Below are 16,071 nucleotides of genomic sequence, written 5' to 3'. Positions count from 1 at the left end.
CTGGAACAGCTGCCTGTGTAGTTGATGGTGGCTCCTCTGGTTGGCCTTGAGGTGTGTGGGAATGTCACTGCCTGGTGAGCTCCTCAGTTGGCCAGCACTGTCTGGGGGTGGGGGATGAGGGTGGCTCCCAGGGGTACCCATCTGAATGCTGCTGTTGTGAAGGTTGATTCTGTCACCTGAATATGAGTAGGCCTTGAGGAGTTGACAGGGCCAGAGGTAAGTTATGAATCAGCAGTTTCCCAATGGCCACTCAGAAAAATGACACATTTGGAAGGGACCAGCAGGAGTCTATTTGGGAGCTGTCATAAGCCCTTGGTGTCAGAAACACTGACCTGGTCTCTGAGCCTTTGGCCAAGGCTCCCTGTAGCCAGACCTTCCCCAAATCTGCAGTCTCTGCCCGGCCTCAACATCTGGCACTCACTCAGCACCTCATTCCTGTCCCCAGTGCAGCCACACTTCGCCAGTACCTTCAGCCAGGCCTCAGGTACTCCGGGGAGTGACCCTTTGCCCGCAGCTGGTATAGCACCCACTTCTCCCACAACGAGGCCCACCCCTGCTTCCTGTTGCCCAGCGGGCCTGTGTTCCTTCACCTGTCCCCACTGCTGGCAATGCTTGAGCCAGGGGCCCTTCAGTGGATCGACTGGCCTGGTGACATGGACCTCAGAGGCTGACCTCCAGGATTGTGAACTCTGCCCCTGGTTCTTTCCCAGGAGGGTCCAGACCCCCAAGGGAGCTTCTAGGATCTCCCAGAGCTCTTCCAGACTGTGGGTAATGGGCACCACACTGAGGGGTGGGCACTGCAAGAGACAAAATGTCATTGCTTTTAAGGGAAGTTTTCAGTTTTCTCTTGTGTCCTTCCGAGGTCTGAGAGCCTGGGAGACCTAGGGCTGGGAACACACCCCCTGGGCAACAATGAATCCTTATGCCCCTCCCAAACTTTTTGCCTCCTCTCCCCAGGGTGAGAAAATAGCCCTTAGAGGCCCCAAGGGACCAGAATAAACACACTTAACAAAGTAATCCATATCTTCCACCTGTTTGATGCCCCCCCAACCCACACAGATCTCCCCTTGAAAATTTTACTGCCCTAGCCAGATTTTCTTCGTCCTGTCATTTCTTTTAAAATTTATTGTTCTTGGCCAGGTGCAGTGGCTCACGCCTGTAATCCCAGCACTTTGGGAGGCCAAGGTGGGTGGATCACCTGAGGTCAGGAGTTCAAGACCAGCCTGACCAACATGGTGAAACCCTATCTCTACTAAAAATCCAAAATTAGCCGGGTGTGGTGGTGCATGCCTGTAGTCCCAACTACCCGGGGTGCTGAGGCAGAAGAATCGCTTGAACCCGGGAGGCAGAGGTTGCAGTGAGCAGAGATTGCGCCATTGCACGCCAGCCTGGGCAATAAGAGCAAAACTCCATCTCAAAAAAAAAAAAAAAATTATGGTTATTTAAGAAATACAGGCCGGGCGTGGTGGCTCACACTTGTAATCCCAGCACTTTGGGAAGCAGAGATGAGCGGATCACGAGGTCAGGAGATTGAGACCATCCTGGCTAACACGGTGAAACCCCGTCTCTACTAGAAATACAGAAAAATTAGCCAGGCGTGGTGGTGGGCGTCTGTAGTCCCAGCTACTCGGGAGGCTGAGGCAGGAGAATGGCGTGAACCCGGGAGACAGAGCTTGCAGTGAGCTGAGATCGCGCCACTGCACTCCAGCCTGGGTGACAAAGTGAGACTCCGTCTCAAAATAAAAAAAGAAAGAAATATAATGATCAGTAGCTGCACCACTAGAAAGATGGCAGAGCAAGAGCACAGAAAAATTCCTTTGGTTCCAGAAAATCTCCTGAAAAATAGGAAGGCTTATCAAGCCCTCAAAGCCACCCAGGCAAAGCAGGCATTTTTGGCAAAGGAGCAGAGGAAAGGAAAAGGGCTCAGGTTTAAGTGACTGGAATCATTCCTACATGATTCCTGGCAGGAGAAACGTGACAAGGTGCATCTCAAGACAACTAGAAGTGCAACCTCACGCCTTGGAATTGCCGGATAAATGTTCCTTGGCCTTTGTTGTACGCATCAAAAGGATTGATGGCGGGAGTTTACTGGTGCAGAGAACCATTGCAAGACTTTGCCTGAAGAAAATTTTTAGTGGTGTCTTTTTAAAAATGCTGCGTATAGTGGAACCTTATGTGACCTGAGGATTTCCAAATCTGAAGTCTGTCTGGGAATTCATTTTGAAACATGGACAAGCCAAGGTCAAGAATAAGACCATCGGCCAGACGCAGTGGCTCACGCCTGTAATCCCAGCACTTTGGGAGGCCAAAGATGGGTGGATCATGAGGTCAGGAGATCGAGACCATCCTGGCTAACACAGTGAAACCCCGTCTCTACTAAAAATACAAAAAATTAGTCCGGCGCGGTGGTGGGCGCCTGTAGTCCCAGCTACTTGGGCGGCTGAGGCAGGAGAATGGCGTGAACCTGGGAGGTGGAGCTTGCAGTGCGCCGAGATTGCACCACTGCGCTCTAGCCTGGGCGACAGAGCGAAACTCTGTCTCAAAAAAAAAAAAAAAAAAAGAATAAGACCATCCCTCTGACAGACAACACAGTGATTGAGGAGGACCTGGGGAAGTTTGGCGTCATTTGCTTGGAAGACCTCATTCATGAAATTGCCTTCCCAGGGAAGCATTTCCAGGAGATCTCATGGTTCTTGCGCCCTTTCCACCTTTCAGTGGCCCGTCATGCTACCAAAAATAGAGTGGGCTTCCTCAAGGAGATGGGCACACCTGGCTGTGGGGGTTAACGCATCAATCAGCTCATCTGCCAGCTGAACTAGACCCAGGTGCCAAACCGCAGTAAATTTTTATCAATGAAGTGGAAGCATGTGTTTTTGTTGTTTTGGGAATTTTTATCAAGTACTTTCAGAGAAGATTATTTCCTGCTTTATCTTCAAAAACTGGAAAGGGTCAAAGAAAAGACAGTAGCTTGCTGGGCACGATGCCTCACGCCAGTAATCCCAACACTTTGGGAGGCTGAGGCGGGCGTATCACCTGAGGTCAGGAGTTTGAGACCAGCCTGACCAACATGGAGAAACACTGTGTCTACTAAAAATACAAAAATTAGCTGGGAATGGTGGCGCACGCCTGTAATCCCAGCTACTCAGGAGGCTAAGGTAGGAGAATCACTCAAACCTGGGAGGCGGAGGTTGCGGTGAGCCAAGATCGCGCCATTACACTCCAGCCTGGGCAAAAAAAGTGAAAGTCCGTCTCAAAAAAAGAAAAAAAAGACAGTAGCTTATGTTCATGGCAAGCACCTCTCATCACAGTCCAGTTCCAAGGAAAAATTCCAGCGTTTTCTACATTGGGTGCCACGTCGCCTGAAATCAGCACATTCCATGGAGGAAGTAGTACTTCTCTGTTGCATCTATCCTAGGGTTTAATGTTGGTAAATGAGTCACTCTAGCATTTGCACAAGGCTCCTTAAGACTCCTGCAGCAGTCGACCAAGCCCAAGGACATAATTGAATCTGGAGAGTCCTGGGGCCTTGTTTTGAAAAAGACTTGAAATACACATAGGAAGAAAGACATAAAAATAAATGTTCACTTGTCTCTGCAAAAAAAAAAAAAAGAAAAGAAATATAAAAGCACCTGGCTTCAGCCACTTTTTCTGACTGCTCTCTCTTGTGAAGATGCCTGAGTACATGTAAAACAGGTACAATTTGTATTCTTTCCTCCTGTTAGTCTGTCTGCTGTCGATTCATTTTTTCTTATTTATTTTTGAGATAGGGTCTCCTAAGTTGAGCAGGCTGATCTCATTCTCTTGGACTCAAGGAATCCTCTTGCCCCGACCTCCCAGGCGCCAGGATTACAGGCGATTCTCAATCTGGGCCTAGATTCAACTAAAGAACCCACTAAGAGCTAAAAGGCGCGTTGGAGGTGACTCTGACTCCAGTACACAGGACATGTATGAAGTCACGTGGAGCACAGAGTAGGCCATCAGGAAGTGTGAGAAGGAGGTCTCAGGGGAGAGCTGGCGACTTTTACTGAGATAAAGACCCCAGGGGAAGCAGGTTGGGGTAAGAAAGGGATGAGCTGGGTTTGAGCCTAGGAGCCTTGGGCCATCCGCGCAGGGGCAGGACGTCAGGGAAGCCAAGAGCCTGGCTGCAGCTAGAGGGAGACAGGCGGTCGGGAGGCGTCCTGCACAGCACATGGGAGAAGCTCCTAGAAGAGAGGGCCCTCTGACTTTCTCAGCCTTACCCTATTCTCCCCGCTGCTTCCGCCATCTAGAAGCTCCCAGAATTTCAAGCTCCAAAAAGCCTACAATAGAGGAGGTTCTCCTGTATCCACTCCATGGCTTTTGTGAAAGGAAAATAAATCTTGGGACCCCCCCAAATCACTACGCTAAAGGAAAAAGTCAAGCTGGGAATTGCTTAGGGCCAACCTGCCTCCCAGTCTATTCAAAGTCACCCCTTTGCTGGCTGACACAGATGCATATCTGATTGCCTCCTTTGGAAACGCTAATCAGAATCTCAAAAGAATGCAACCGTTTGTGCCTCACCTTCTGTTTCTTGGAAGCCCCCTTCCTGCTTCACGTCTTCCTGCCTTTGCTTCAAGTTGCCCCGCCTTTCCAAACAGAACCAATGTACTTCTTACATACATTTATTGATGTCTCATGTCTCCATAAAATGTATAAAACTAAGCTATGCCCAGACCACCTTGGGCACATGTCGTGAGGACTTCCTGAGGCTGTCACGCGCGCGTCCTCAACCTTGGCAAGTAATTGAGATCTGTCTCGGAATTTCTGGGTTCACACTTTTTGCTCTCAACATTGGGAAGAGGCTGCTGTCGCCGTTTCTGAGGACAAAACGAGACAGTGATGGGCTGAAGTCCGATTATAAAAAGGTCCAGAGACGAAAACTAACTTCTGAGTTCACGAGGGCTGCCTTCCGCAGGGCGCTGCTTTGTTCCCGCAAACCCGGGCGGAAGCTCTGAGCTGCGCCGCCTCACCTGGCGGGGCCGGAGCATGCGCGGCTGGTTTTCAAGGCCGGCGCCTGTAGCCGCAACGGCCATTTTGGATTAGGGCAAGGAGAGAACTGGGCCTGGAGCGGGGGCGCGGGGAGGGGGGCGTCGTCGTGGGTACAATTGCGCAGGGGCAAAGGTCGAGAGGTCGCGCTGCCGCCGTTTTATTTGAAGACATCGTCCAGTTCTGACCATGGACTCGCAGCCATCGGCCCTTAGTTTCCATCCCCTCTAGTGGGCCTTCGGGGGCTCTACTGACGTCCCTCCTTCCCTTGGTACCGGGCCGGGGAAGTGTTCTCGGGCGCGGGAGGTTCCGCATGCCCAGGCCTGGCCAGGGGAGATGACCGATCCGTCGCTGGGGCTGACAGTCCCCATGGCGCCGCCTCTGGCCCCGCTCCCTCCCCGGGACCCAAACGGGGCGGGATCCGAGTGGAGAAAGCCCGGGGCCGTGAGCTTCGCCGACGTGGCCGTGTACTTCTCCCGGGAGGAGTGGGGCTGCCTGCGGCCCGCGCAGAGGGCCCTGTACCGGGACGTGATGCGGGAGACCTACGGCCACCTGGGCGCGCTCGGTGAGAGCCCCACCTGCTTGCCTGGGCCCTGCGCCTCCACAGGCCCTGCCGCGCCTCTGGGAGCTGCGTGTGGAGTTGGGGGCCCCGGGGCCGGGCAGGCGGCCTCCTCGCAGCGTGGGGTTTGCGTTCTTCTCCCCCAGGAGTCGGAGGCAGCAAGCCGGCGCTCATCTCCTGGGTGGAGGAGAAGGCCGAACTGTGGGATCCGGCTGCCCAGGATCCGGAGGTGGCGAAGTGTCCGACAGAAGCGGACCCAGGTGGAGTATCGGGTGCTCAGTCCCATGGGGACTTCTCTGTTCCTGTCCCATCCCGGTACCCTCTGCCACCTCCAGCTACCTGCTTAGCAGTTTCCTCTCTGAACTGCCTCCTCAACTGCGGCCAGGAGGCTGAGCCCCTGCCTGGCTCCGGGATGCAGCCTAGAAAGGGGCTGTGATGGGGGCTCTGGCCCTGCCATACCCGCCCCTGAGTCCTCACCTCTGCGTGGTCACTACACTCCGGGGACTTTTTTGTTTTGTTTTGTTTTAGAGACAGGGTCTCTGTTGCCCAGGCTGAGGTGCAGTGGCGCCATCATAGCTCACTGCAGTCTTGAACTCCCGGGCTCAAGCAATCGGCTCAACCAATCCTCCCGCGTGGGCCTCCAGAGTACCTAACACTGTAAAGGCACTCGCCACCACGCCTGGCTGGTTTTTTTTTTTTTTTTTTAATTAAAAAAATTTTAAAGAGGTAGAGGTCTTGGTGTGTTGCCCGAGCTGGTCTCGAACTCTAGCGATCCTCTATCTCGGCCTCCCAAAGCACTGGGATTACAGGCATGAGCCACTGCACCCGGCCTCTAGGTTCTGTTGACTCTACCTCCACATCATGACCCGCTCCAGTCGTTTTCCTGCACTATGGTTCCTATGCCCCCACATCCCGCCCTCCCATTTCCTTCCTTTAGTTCTTGCCTCAGCTTTTGCAGAGTATCCAGCCCCACTGAACTTGGCCATGCCCTCCTGGTTCTGCCTTTCTTGGTGCTGTTCCTTCTGCCTGGAATATCCCCAGGTGTCCGCTTCTTATTCCAGATCAGGCCCAGATGTTCACGTCATCTCTGCCCTTCCCCCGCGGTGACATTTCCCCAGCCCGGAGGCGGAATGGACTGTTCCCTCCCTCCAGGCTCTGTCTGGCTCTGCAGCCGAGGAACAGGTGTCACTCCTCCATCTCCTAGGAGCAGTCGGGGGTCCAGCAGGCCTGTCCCTGTCCACGCGGGCTGTGGGATTCAATGACCAGGATGAGCCAAGCCTGAACTCTCGCCTCCTTATCTTTCAGCAGATTCCAGAAACAAGGAAGAGGAAAGACAAAGGGAAGGGACGGGAGCCCTGGAGAAGCCCGACCCTGTGGCCGCCGGGTCTCCTGGGCTGAAGGCTCCCCAAGCCCCCTTTGCCGGGTTGGAGCAGCTGTCCAAGGCCCGGCGCCGGAGTCGCCCCCGCTTTTTTGCCCACCCCCCTGTCCCCCGAGCTGACCAGCGTCACGGCTGCTACGTGTGCGGGAAGAGCTTCGCCTGGCGCTCCACACTGGTGGAGCACATTTACAGCCACAGGGGCGAGAAGCCCTTCCACTGCGCAGACTGCGGCAAGGGCTTCGGCCACGCTTCCTCCCTGAGCAAACACCGGGCCATCCATCGTGGGGAGCGGCCCCACCGCTGTCCCGAGTGTGGTCGGGCCTTCATGCGCCGCACGGCGCTGACTTCTCACCTGCGCGTTCACACTGGCGAGAAGCCCTACCGCTGCCCGCAGTGTGGCCGCTGCTTCGGCCTGAAGACCGGCATGGCCAAGCACCAATGGGTCCATCGGCCCGGGGGCGAGGGGCGTAGGGGCCGGCGCCCTGGGGGGCTGTCTGTGACCCTGACTCCTGTCCGCGGGGACCTGGACCCGCCTGTGGGCTTCCAGCTGTATCCAGAGATATTCCAGGAATGTGGGTGACGGCCTAAAAAGTGACCATCTAGACATTGTGGGCGGCCCGAGATGGGCTCAGGGGCCCGAACCTCTGCAGCGGCCTGCAGGGAGGTCCCAGAATCCACCGCAAGAGCTGGCCTGGGGTGCGGACAGTCTGATCTTGGGCTCTCAGCAGCCTCTTCTGCCAGCACCTTGCTCCCCGCTGCCCTGGGCTCTCCAAGGCCCCCTTTGCTGAGGCAGGGCTGAGGTGAGAACCCCCCAGACCTCCATACAGGGAAGCAAAAGCTGTTTCTCCTCCCAGAGATGCTAAGAGGATTGAGGTAGAGAAGAACCTTGTTTTCTCTGTTGTCTTTTTCTTTTTACTTTTTTAATTTTTTGAGACGGAGTTTTGCTCTTGTTGCCCAGGCTGGAGTGCAATGGTGCGATCTCGACTCACTGCAACTTCCACCTCCTGGAGTCAAGCGATTCTCCTGCCTCAGCCACCCAAGTAGCTGGAATTACAGGCACCTGCCACTATGCCCGGCTAACTTTTTGTATTTTTAGTAGAGATGGGGTTTCACCATGTTGGCTAGGCTGGTCTCGAACTCCTGCCCTCAGGTGATCCACCCACCTCTGCCTCCCAAAGTGCTGGGATTACAGGCGTGAGCCACCTCACCTGGCCTTTTCTTTTTTATTCTTTGACCTTCCCACAAGACAATACCCATTGTCTGTTTTTTTTGTTTATTTATTTACTTATTAAGACAGCATCTTGCTCCTCACCCAGGCTGGAATGCAGTGGTGTGAACTGGGCTCACTGCAGCCTAGACCTGCTGGGCTCAAGGAATCCTCCTGCCCCAGCCTCTCAGATGGCTGTGACTACAGGTGGGCAACACTATGCCTGGCTAATTTTTAAATTTTTTTGCAGAGATGGGGTTCCCACTATGTTGATCAGGCTGGTCTCAAACTCCTCGGTTCAAGCAATTCGCCCACCTTGGCCTCCCAAAGTGCTGGGATTACAGGGGAGCCACTGCACTGGCCTTCATTGTCTTTTTGCTGCACAACCTAAAAAACCAGTGACCCTGTATTGGATCTCGCCTGCAGTTGCTGTATTGATTTGGGCCCAGGCAGTGTTTTTAAGTGATAAGAATTAGTGATGAAGATCTAAAGGGATATTTTGCACCAAAATCCAGGTTTCTGGCATCTCTTGAAAAATCCAAAGATTTCGCAAGTTCACCTAGGCTCTCAGAAAGTCGCAGTTGTTGGGAGTTGGGCCGGAGCCAGAACTCCCAACTTACTGTGGTCCGGCCACTCATCCCATCAGCTCCTGACCAAGCATGAGTAGCCATTCATCATGGCTTGCTTTTAGTGTTTTTGGTGTTTATCTTAAAGTACAGCAAAGAAGAAAGGGAAGTATTTCTTGAACCCATGTCTGTGTCAAAACAGTCCTTGCATCTTTCCTGTCTTTAGGTACGCACCATCTTTGCTGTCTTTAAGTATGTGCCATCATGGGCAGAGGGGGCTAGGCCAGGAACACCTGGTGTTAGATTTGTAGCCAGTGGCAACCGTACCCATCTGTATCCCCAAGTTCTACACGGAATCCCTCCAGCACTTCACGACTCCATTATCCAGCTACCACTAATTCCTTTGTGGGCAGAGTCCAGCCACGGGCAGCCCCTGCCCTGCCTCTGGTCAGGACAACACCTGCCCAAGGAGAGCAAGGGCCTGTGACCTCTGCTGGCCTGTGCGCCCTCACCTGTCACCCAGCTCAGCCCTGTGTCTGGCCTACCCAGGGAGGAAGGAACCAGATTTATCAGCCTGAAAGGAGGTAGAAGTTTTGGAGAAAAGACACTGTTCGGGTGTCAAGTAATGAACTGACTTTATTCGAACCTCATCTCCAATCCAATCCCACCGTGGTCTCTCTCTCCCTCAGCTTTTCTGGGGCGGGTTGACTCGTGTGTCACTTTATCACAGGGGCACATGGGGTGAGAAGAGGAACCTTGGCAGTAGGAGATACCTTTGTACCAGGTTTTAATTTCCAGTGTACATCTCAGTCCCCTCCCCTAACCCTCAACACAGCCTGGGGAAAGCCCAGCTTGCAACACCAGTTCTCAGCCCAGACTGACAGCCAGATAGATCTTGGCCCTGAGTTTGCCAATTAAAGATGCCGTGATTATTACCTAGAGGTCTCTGAGAGCTTTGAAGTTTGTAAAGTTTACTTATGGCCCAGAAACCAGGCTCCAACTCCTCTGCTTCCTGCCCTCATGACCCAACCTTCCAGCATTTCGTCAATTTTTTTTAGTGTCGTGAAACCCTTAAGCCTTAGCCCCACCCCATTCTCAGCTCCTCAGTTGGTGGCACAGATATTTCCACCTAGAGGTAGGGCCAGGCTAAGTATCTTTTAAAAATGTAGCTATTCTCGGCCGGGCGTGGTGGCTCACACCTGTAATCCCAGCATTTTGGGAGGCTGAGGCGGGCGGATCGCAAGGTCAGGAGACCGAGACCATCCTGGCTAACATGGTGAAACCCCGTCTCTACTAAGGATACATTTTAAAAAAATTAGCCTGACATGGTGGCACGTGCCTATAGTCCCAGCTACTCAGGAGGGTGAGGCAGGAGAATCGCTTGAACTCAGGAGGCAGAGGTTGCACTGAGCAGAGATAGCACCACTGCACTCCAGCCTGGGTGACAGAGCGAGACTCTGTCTCAAAAAAAAAAAAAAAAAAAACTAGCTACTCCCTGGGCCCAGTTCCTCATCTATTGAATCAGAATCTCCAGGGATAGAATTTTATGGCTGTGAAAGTTTGAGAGAACCACGGCTGGGAACAAAACATTATTTTCAAACTGCTCTTAGTTTTGCAAGAGTAGTGGTTGGTCCCAGGGCCTGTCCCCAATGTCAGGCATACACAAAGACCTCCATTTCTTTGTTCTTTCCAAAGGGCCCTGTGCCGTGGCTGCTGTCTTCCTGGGTACTTAGGATCATGTTCAATACACTGGGGCATCTCCTCTAGCATCGGATGGAAGGGCTTTAAGAGGGCTTGTCCTTTGCATGAGGGAAGGGAGCAGTGCATACGGAAGCTCCTCTCACTGAGAACGTCTGTGAAGGCTCTCTGGCCTGCAGTGTTGGCCAGGTTGGCTGACCATAAGCCTTGGCTGCACACTGAATGGCTCTGCCCTAGTGCTGGGCATGCCAGGAGATAATGCTGTGAACAAAGTGACCACCTGACTCAGGACATGCACAGGGCTCATCCTCATGGATGCAGAGGCAGGACAATGCCAGTGGACTCCCCAAGTTTCTCCTGCCTTGGATTAGCTGGTGTTGGGTCAAGATGCAGCCCTTATCAGAGGCTTTCCTGGGCTTGGAGCCTCTCACTGCTGTGGCTGTGTGTCAGGTGGAGGCTGGCTTCCTTGTGAAGTCCCTGTGCATAGATGGCACCCTGGTCCTAGAGGAGGCTGGCTGGAAGTGAGCCACTCTTACTCCAGGTGCCAGTGAGGCTGAATTTGCACTTGGAAATGCGGGTGCCTGGGCAGCATGAAGTCTTGGCCCAGCTTCTGCTACACCTGGGACTTGTGGCTCATGATAAGAGTGCAGGCAGTGTACGGTGTCAGAGCTGTGGCTGGAGGTCTCGCCACCCATTTTTAGGGTGTGGCTGCTCTCCTGTGTGAATTTTGGTGGATCAGCAAGTTGGATGTCAGAGAAAAGTGTCTTGTGAAGGAGACTTGTTTCCTACCTGTGTGAGTGCTTTGGGGATGACCAGAGGGTACCCCATGTCCAGCTCTTCCCAAAACTGGTCCTCTTGTAGGCTGTTTGACTGTGGGCTCTAGTGCTGGACCATGTAAGCCATTCTTAGCAAAGGTTTCAAGACAAACATACATTGGGATGGGAGAGAGCTATGGGGCTGGAAGCTGTTTCTCTGGAGGGCAGAAAGTTTTCCCCGCTTCATTCGTGGCATAAGCTCTTGTGATTTTATTTGTAAGCCTTTATTATTATTATTTGAGACGGAGTCTTGCTCTGTCACCCAGACTAGAGTGCAGTGGCGAGATCTCGGCTTACTGCAACCTCCGCCTCCCGGGTTCAAGTGATTCTCCTGCCTCAGCCTCCCAAGTAGCTGGGATTACAGGTGCCCACCACCGTGCCTGGCTAATTTTTGTATTTTTTTAGTAGAGACGGGGTTTCACCATCTTGGCCAGGCTGGTCTTGAACTCCTGACCTCGTGATCCACCTGCCTTGGCCTCCCAAAAGTGCTGGGATTACAGACATGAGCCAGTGCGCCCCACCTGTAAGCCTTTATTTAGATAGTTTCTCTCCACTTTTTACCACTTGGCATTCTTCAAGTTCTTGTTCTCACCTCTTTTCAGGAAGGAGAGGCCATCCTTCCTCCCAAACATTCTCTTCCCTTCATTTGTCTGGGTAGGCGACAAGAAAACACGATCCATGGCTCCTGCTCACACAGGGGCATCGGGCTCGTTAACTGTCAAGAACGCTGCCAAACTTGTTTCAGCACGAAGCGTAGAAAAAAAAGACAAGAACTGGATGATATTAAGTTGTCTGTCCAGGCTCACTTCCTCAATTCAAAGCTGCGCCCGAGGCAGTGTTTCTCAGGTTCCCTTCCTCTGCAAGACTCCATTCGAGTCAGACAAGACTGGAGAGTTGTTAGATGCCTCGAAGGCCAGATGGTTCTCTCAGTCCAATTCTCCTTTGTATCACCCTCACCTGGAAGGAATCCTGCCTCCCTGTGAGGAAATCTAACAACAGGGACTAAGGCTGCCAGGGATTGAGTTAAACTCAGGCGCTGGGGAAGGTGGAGGGGAGAGGCAAGGGGTGTGAGGCTGACGAGGAGGAAGGGTGTCTGTCCTCAGATCTTCTGGCTTTCATAAAACATAATGGAGGCTAAGTGGGGGCGGGAAAAGTTTTGATGGCACAGGCCGGGCTGGAGGGGAGATGCCTGGCACCTCCCTCCCACTACCTCCTGAAGGCGCTTCTGGCCGACAGGGGAGGCGGACCCGACCACAGCACTCCCGGCCAATCAGGAAGGCGCCTGGCGTTCCCTGGCGACCATTAACGCCCAGCCGTCCGCGGGGTTGGAGGAGGCGGGGCGGCTAGAGCACGAGCCCCATCGGCCAACCGCCGGGCTTCCTGGGGCGGAGAAGCTGTGCCTCTGGGAGCCGGGGCGGGGCTGTCTCCTTGGCAACTATCCTAGCCCTCGAGGAGGGAGGAGGGAGGAGGAGGATCAGGGGAGCCGAGCTGGGTGGGGGCCGGAGGAACGGGAGCGGGCGCGCGCAGGTGCCGGGGAGCGGAGTTCCTGGAGGGGGTCCCAGGCTCAAGGACCTCGGCGAGGCCAAGGGGAGTCCGTCCCGGTTCCCGAGGCGCTGCCGGAGCTGACCCGGAGGCCCGGGAGGGGAGGGAGCGAGACACCGCCCCCGCTGGCGCCGGGAAGCGTCGCTCCTTCTCGCTGACCTTGGTCTCGCTTGTCGCCTCGCCCTTGGCCACACGCACCGACGACGCGGGGCCCGGGAGATGGACAGACGGGCCTCTGGAGGGACGGAGACCTAGAACATAGGCACACACACTGCCCCGGTAGCCCCGCGGGCTCCGGGGCGTCCGGTCCTCACCCACCCCGTGGCCGGGCCCCTCCAGCCCAGGGTTAATGCCAACGAGTTTCCACCTCCAGCGGCTCCTAGAGAGGCCGCGGCGCGAGCCGGCGGGGGGACCTGGCCGCGGACGGACACTTCCTGTGCGGGGGAGGGTGGGGGGGTGCTGGGCGGCCGTTGGACAGTGCAGCCCAGCCCGGGGCCGGGGTCCAGAAGGTGGGGGCTCGGGCGGGAGCGGGGGCCGGGGGCCGCCGGGGTAGTCGCGAAGCCCCTCATCCCCGAGGCCGCGACGCGCGGGGGCCAGTGAGGGCCACGGGGAGGCCGAGACCTTGGGAGGGGGCGGGGCCGCGGGCAGGGGAGGGGCCCGGCGCGCTGGAGAGGCGCGGGGTCAAGACGTCCGGCCTCGGGGGCCCGGGCTGGGCCGCCGAGTCCCCTGGGCGGCGCTGAGCGGGCGGGAGGCGGGGGCCCGCGGCTCGGGGCAACCGAGGCCGGGTCGCGGGATCGGCCGCCATCGCCGCCGCCGCTGCACTGGGAGCCCGCGGGGATGGAGCGGGAGGCGTTGCCGTGGGGCCTCGAGCCCCAGGATGTGCAGAGTTCTGACGAAATGAGGAGCCCCGAAGGGTACCTCAGAGGTGAGGAGGGAGCGCCCGTCCGAGGAGTGGACTTGCGCGCAGGAGAAGGGGCTGTGGCTCCAGGGAGGGAGCGAGGGCCCGGGGCTGGGACACCTGGGACTCGAAGGAGGGGCCGGCGGGGACTGGGGTGTCTTGGGTCAGCTGAGGGGGGCGTGGGAATTTCAGCACTTGTCTAGGGGCCAGCGACCCTGCATGTGAGGTGGGAGGTGTGTGGTTGCTAATGGACCAAATGACCTTCCAGGTCTCACACGATCTGGATTCTCTCATCCTGCAGGCAACATGAGTGAGAATGAGGAAGAGGAAATTTCTCAGCAAGAAGGCAGTGGGGACTATGAAGTCGAAGAGATACCATTTGGGCTTGAACCCCAGAGCCCTGGGTTTGAGCCACAAAGCCCAGAGTTTGAACCCCAAAGCCCCAGATTTGAGCCTGAAAGCCCGGGGTTTGAGTCCCGAAGCCCTGGGCTTGTGCCCCCAAGCCCTGAGTTTGCACCCAGAAGCCCTGAATCAGATTCTCAGAGCCCTGAGTTTGAATCCCAGAGCCCTAGGTATGAACCCCAAAGCCCTGGCTATGAACCTCGGAGCCCCGGGTATGAACCCCGGAGCCCTGGCTATGAATCTGAGAGCTCTAGATATGAATCCCAGAACACTGAGCTCAAAACCCAAAGCCCAGAATTTGAAGCTCAAAGTTCCAAATTCCAGGAAGGTGCGGAGATGCTTCTGAACCCCGAGGAAAAGAGTCCTTTGAATATCTCCGTAGGAGTTCACCCCCTGGACTCCTTCACTCAGGGGTTTGGGGAGCAGCCCACAGGGGACCTGCCCATAGGGCCACCTTTTGAGATGCCCACAGGGGCCCTGCTGTCTACACCGCAGTTTGAGATGCTTCAGAATCCCCTGGGTCTCACAGGAGCCCTTCGAGGTCCAGGTCGGCGGGGTGGCCGGGCCAGGGGTGGGCAGGGCCCTCGGCCTAACATCTGTGGCATCTGCGGGAAGAGCTTCGGGCGGGGCTCCACCCTGATCCAGCACCAGCGCATCCACACCGGTGAGAAGCCCTACAAATGTGAGGTCTGCAGCAAGGCCTTCTCCCAGAGCTCTGACCTCATCAAACACCAGCGCACCCACACTGGCGAGCGGCCCTACAAATGTCCCCGTTGCGGCAAGGCCTTCGCCGACAGCTCTTACCTGCTTCGCCACCAGCGCACTCACTCTGGCCAGAAGCCCTACAAGTGCCCACATTGTGGCAAGGCCTTCGGCGACAGCTCCTACCTCCTGCGACACCAGCGCACCCACAGCCACGAGCGGCCCTACAGCTGCACCGAGTGCGGCAAGTGCTATAGCCAGAACTCGTCCCTGCGCAGCCATCAGAGGGTGCACACCGGTCAGAGGCCCTTCAGCTGTGGCATCTGCGGCAAGAGCTTCTCCCAGCGGTCGGCCCTTATCCCCCATGCCCGCAGCCACGCCCGGGAGAAGCCCTTCAAGTGCCCTGAGTGCGGCAAGCGCTTTGGCCAGAGCTCGGTGCTGGCCATCCACGCCCGCACCCACCTGCCAGGCCGCACCTACAGCTGCCCCGACTGCGGCAAGACCTTCAATCGCTCCTCCACTCTCATCCAGCACCAGCGCTCCCACACGGGCGAGCGGCCCTACAGGTGCGCCGTGTGCGGCAAGGGCTTCTGCCGCTCCTCCACGCTTCTGCAGCATCACCGGGTCCACAGTGGCGAGCGGCCTTACAAGTGCGATGACTGCGGAAAGGCCTTCTCCCAGAGCTCCGACCTCATCCGCCACCAGCGGACCCACGCGGCGGGCCGGCGCTGACCTGGGGCCCCAGCAGGGGTGGGAGGTGTGGGCAGAAGATAAGGGGCCAGGGAGCTAGAGGAACCTTTAGGGAGGATAGTGGAGAAGCCGCAGGAGAATGGAGGAGCTGAGGATGCTGGAAGAAGAGAACCAGGGTGGAGGAAGTGACATGCCCTGGAGACTTGTGGGAAGTGGGTTGGAGGGAGGCCAGGCCGGCAGCGGGAGGCCCTGGGAGAAATGGAGAGAGGTCAGCGGAGGGCTGGCCTCAGCCGCGGCTCCTTGGTGGGTGCCTGGCTTGGCAACTGCTAGAGCAGGGAGGGGGGAGGGCAGGGGATTACCTAATTAGAGTGGGTTAGCTTAGATTGGTAGCTGCTGAAACTCTCGTTGAGTCAGGAGCGGGTAAAAGGTAGGTGGGGTGGGGAGTGGGGCCCCGGGGTGGGGCCTGGGCCTCTGCGTGCAAACCCCAGCCTCCCTCTTCTTCCTCAGGCTTTGGAGCCCCTGAGTTTGAGTTCAATAAAAACTTTATGTGGTAAACGAGACTTGTCCTTAAAATGTGTGCGTGCACAGCGCCCTGGGAAGTGGGAGACAC

General features: G+C 56.1%; 2 protein-coding genes, 1 long non-coding RNA gene and 1 pseudogene across 8 annotated transcripts, besides 10 other annotated features; 3 read left to right on the top strand and 1 right to left on the bottom strand.

The window, feature by feature from the left end:
* Window positions 1,761–3,016, top strand: RPL7L1P16 (RPL7L1 pseudogene 16; annotated as a pseudogene).
* ZNF747-DT (ZNF747 divergent transcript) lies at window positions 2,871–4,962 on the bottom strand. Its single transcript, NR_184306.1, has 2 exons — window positions 4,540–4,962; window positions 2,871–3,591 (listed from the first exon to the last, which is right to left on the bottom strand). It is a non-coding gene; the product is annotated as a ZNF747 divergent transcript (long non-coding RNA).
* Window positions 4,858–5,152: an enhancer, noted in NCBI's record as "tiled region #7881; HepG2 Activating DNase unmatched - State 1:Tss, and K562 Activating DNase unmatched - State 1:Tss". NCBI's record gives its function as "activates a minimal TATA promoter and a strong SV40 promoter by Sharpr-MPRA in HepG2 and K562 cells {active_cell/tissue: HepG2 | K562}" and the evidence as "EXISTENCE:reporter gene assay evidence [ECO:0000049][PMID:27701403]".
* Window positions 5,050–5,099: an enhancer, noted in NCBI's record as "active region_10711". NCBI's record gives its function as "activates an Ori minimal core promoter by ATAC-STARR-seq in GM12878 lymphoblastoid cells {active_cell/tissue: GM12878}" and the evidence as "EXISTENCE:reporter gene assay evidence [ECO:0000049][PMID:35858748]".
* On the top strand, window positions 5,162–9,653 carry ZNF747 (zinc finger protein 747). 4 transcript variants are annotated; one of them, NM_001305019.2, is made up of 3 exons: window positions 5,162–5,569; window positions 5,710–5,823; window positions 6,872–9,653. In NM_001305019.2, exons 1-3 carry the CDS (start codon window positions 5,341–5,343, stop codon window positions 7,519–7,521), a joined length of 993 nt encoding a protein of 330 aa, NP_001291948.1. In that variant the 5' UTR covers window positions 5,162–5,340; the 3' UTR covers window positions 7,522–9,653. The 4 variants fall into 4 exon arrangements, with proteins under 4 accessions (NP_001291948.1, NP_001291947.1, NP_001291949.1 ...); NM_001305018.2 differs by having other exon boundaries at window positions 6,869–9,653; NM_001305020.2 differs by having other exon boundaries at window positions 5,162–5,823.
* Window positions 5,510–5,609: a silencer, noted in NCBI's record as "silent region_7378". NCBI's record gives its function as "represses an Ori minimal core promoter by ATAC-STARR-seq in GM12878 lymphoblastoid cells {active_cell/tissue: GM12878}" and the evidence as "EXISTENCE:reporter gene assay evidence [ECO:0000049][PMID:35858748]".
* Window positions 5,860–5,909: an enhancer, noted in NCBI's record as "active region_10710". NCBI's record gives its function as "activates an Ori minimal core promoter by ATAC-STARR-seq in GM12878 lymphoblastoid cells {active_cell/tissue: GM12878}" and the evidence as "EXISTENCE:reporter gene assay evidence [ECO:0000049][PMID:35858748]".
* Window positions 6,217–6,728: an enhancer, noted in NCBI's record as "H3K4me1 hESC enhancer chr16:30544613-30545124 (GRCh37/hg19 assembly coordinates)". NCBI's record gives its function as "activates a minimal SCP1, AML or CMV promoter by ChIP-STARR-seq in naive H9 embryonic stem cells {active_cell/tissue: H9 hESC(naive)}" and the evidence as "EXISTENCE:reporter gene assay evidence [ECO:0000049][PMID:30033119]".
* ZNF768 (zinc finger protein 768) lies at window positions 7,543–16,016 on the top strand. 3 transcript variants are annotated; one of them, XM_017023666.2, is made up of 2 exons: window positions 7,543–7,741; window positions 13,969–16,016. In XM_017023666.2, exon 2 carries the CDS (start codon window positions 13,974–13,976, stop codon window positions 15,501–15,503), a length of 1,530 nt encoding a protein of 509 aa, XP_016879155.1. In that variant the 5' UTR covers window positions 7,543–7,741; window positions 13,969–13,973; the 3' UTR covers window positions 15,504–16,016. The 3 variants fall into 3 exon arrangements, with proteins under 3 accessions (XP_016879155.1, XP_016879154.1, NP_078947.3); XM_017023665.3 differs by lacking the exon at window positions 7,543–7,741 and adding an exon at window positions 12,729–13,278; NM_024671.4 differs by lacking the exon at window positions 7,543–7,741 and adding an exon at window positions 13,454–13,694.
* Window positions 12,069–12,368: an enhancer, noted in NCBI's record as "active region_10709". NCBI's record gives its function as "activates an Ori minimal core promoter by ATAC-STARR-seq in GM12878 lymphoblastoid cells {active_cell/tissue: GM12878}" and the evidence as "EXISTENCE:reporter gene assay evidence [ECO:0000049][PMID:35858748]".
* Window positions 12,439–13,268: a silencer, noted in NCBI's record as "silent region_7377". NCBI's record gives its function as "represses an Ori minimal core promoter by ATAC-STARR-seq in GM12878 lymphoblastoid cells {active_cell/tissue: GM12878}" and the evidence as "EXISTENCE:reporter gene assay evidence [ECO:0000049][PMID:35858748]".
* Window positions 13,359–13,678: a silencer, noted in NCBI's record as "silent region_7376". NCBI's record gives its function as "represses an Ori minimal core promoter by ATAC-STARR-seq in GM12878 lymphoblastoid cells {active_cell/tissue: GM12878}" and the evidence as "EXISTENCE:reporter gene assay evidence [ECO:0000049][PMID:35858748]".
* Window positions 13,699–13,748: a silencer, noted in NCBI's record as "silent region_7375". NCBI's record gives its function as "represses an Ori minimal core promoter by ATAC-STARR-seq in GM12878 lymphoblastoid cells {active_cell/tissue: GM12878}" and the evidence as "EXISTENCE:reporter gene assay evidence [ECO:0000049][PMID:35858748]".
* Window positions 13,949–14,008: an enhancer, noted in NCBI's record as "active region_10708". NCBI's record gives its function as "activates an Ori minimal core promoter by ATAC-STARR-seq in GM12878 lymphoblastoid cells {active_cell/tissue: GM12878}" and the evidence as "EXISTENCE:reporter gene assay evidence [ECO:0000049][PMID:35858748]".
* Window positions 16,017–16,071: the final 55 nt, after the last annotated feature.

The sequence above is a fragment of the Homo sapiens genome, chromosome 16 (genome assembly GCF_000001405.40).
Source record: "Homo sapiens chromosome 16, GRCh38.p14 Primary Assembly".
In the NCBI taxonomy this organism is placed as follows: Eukaryota; Metazoa; Chordata; class Mammalia; order Primates; family Hominidae; genus Homo; species Homo sapiens.
Note: the sequence above shows the minus strand (reverse complement) of the source record. Positions and strands in the feature narration are given on the sequence as shown.

What these genes read in the sequence shown, in the direction of transcription:
- ZNF768 (XM_017023665.3), top strand. Translation starts at nt 13,119, where the DNA reads ATGCCAACGAGTTTCCACCTCCAGCGGCTCCTAGAGAGGCCGCGGCGC. An exon ending in CCGGGGCCGGGGTCCAGAAG is followed by an intron (nt 13,279 to 13,968) that starts GTGGGGGCTCGG and finishes CTCATCCTGCAG; the next exon opens with GCAACATGAGTGAGAATGAG.
- ZNF747 (NM_001305018.2), top strand. Translation starts at nt 5,341, where the DNA reads ATGACCGATCCGTCGCTGGGGCTGACAGTCCCCATGGCGCCGCCTCTG. An exon ending in CGGCCACCTGGGCGCGCTCG is followed by an intron (nt 5,570 to 5,709) that starts GTGAGAGCCCCA and finishes CTTCTCCCCCAG; the next exon opens with GAGTCGGAGGCAGCAAGCCG. An exon ending in TCCGACAGAAGCGGACCCAG is followed by an intron (nt 5,824 to 6,868) that starts GTGGAGTATCGG and finishes CTTATCTTTCAG; the next exon opens with CAGATTCCAGAAACAAGGAA.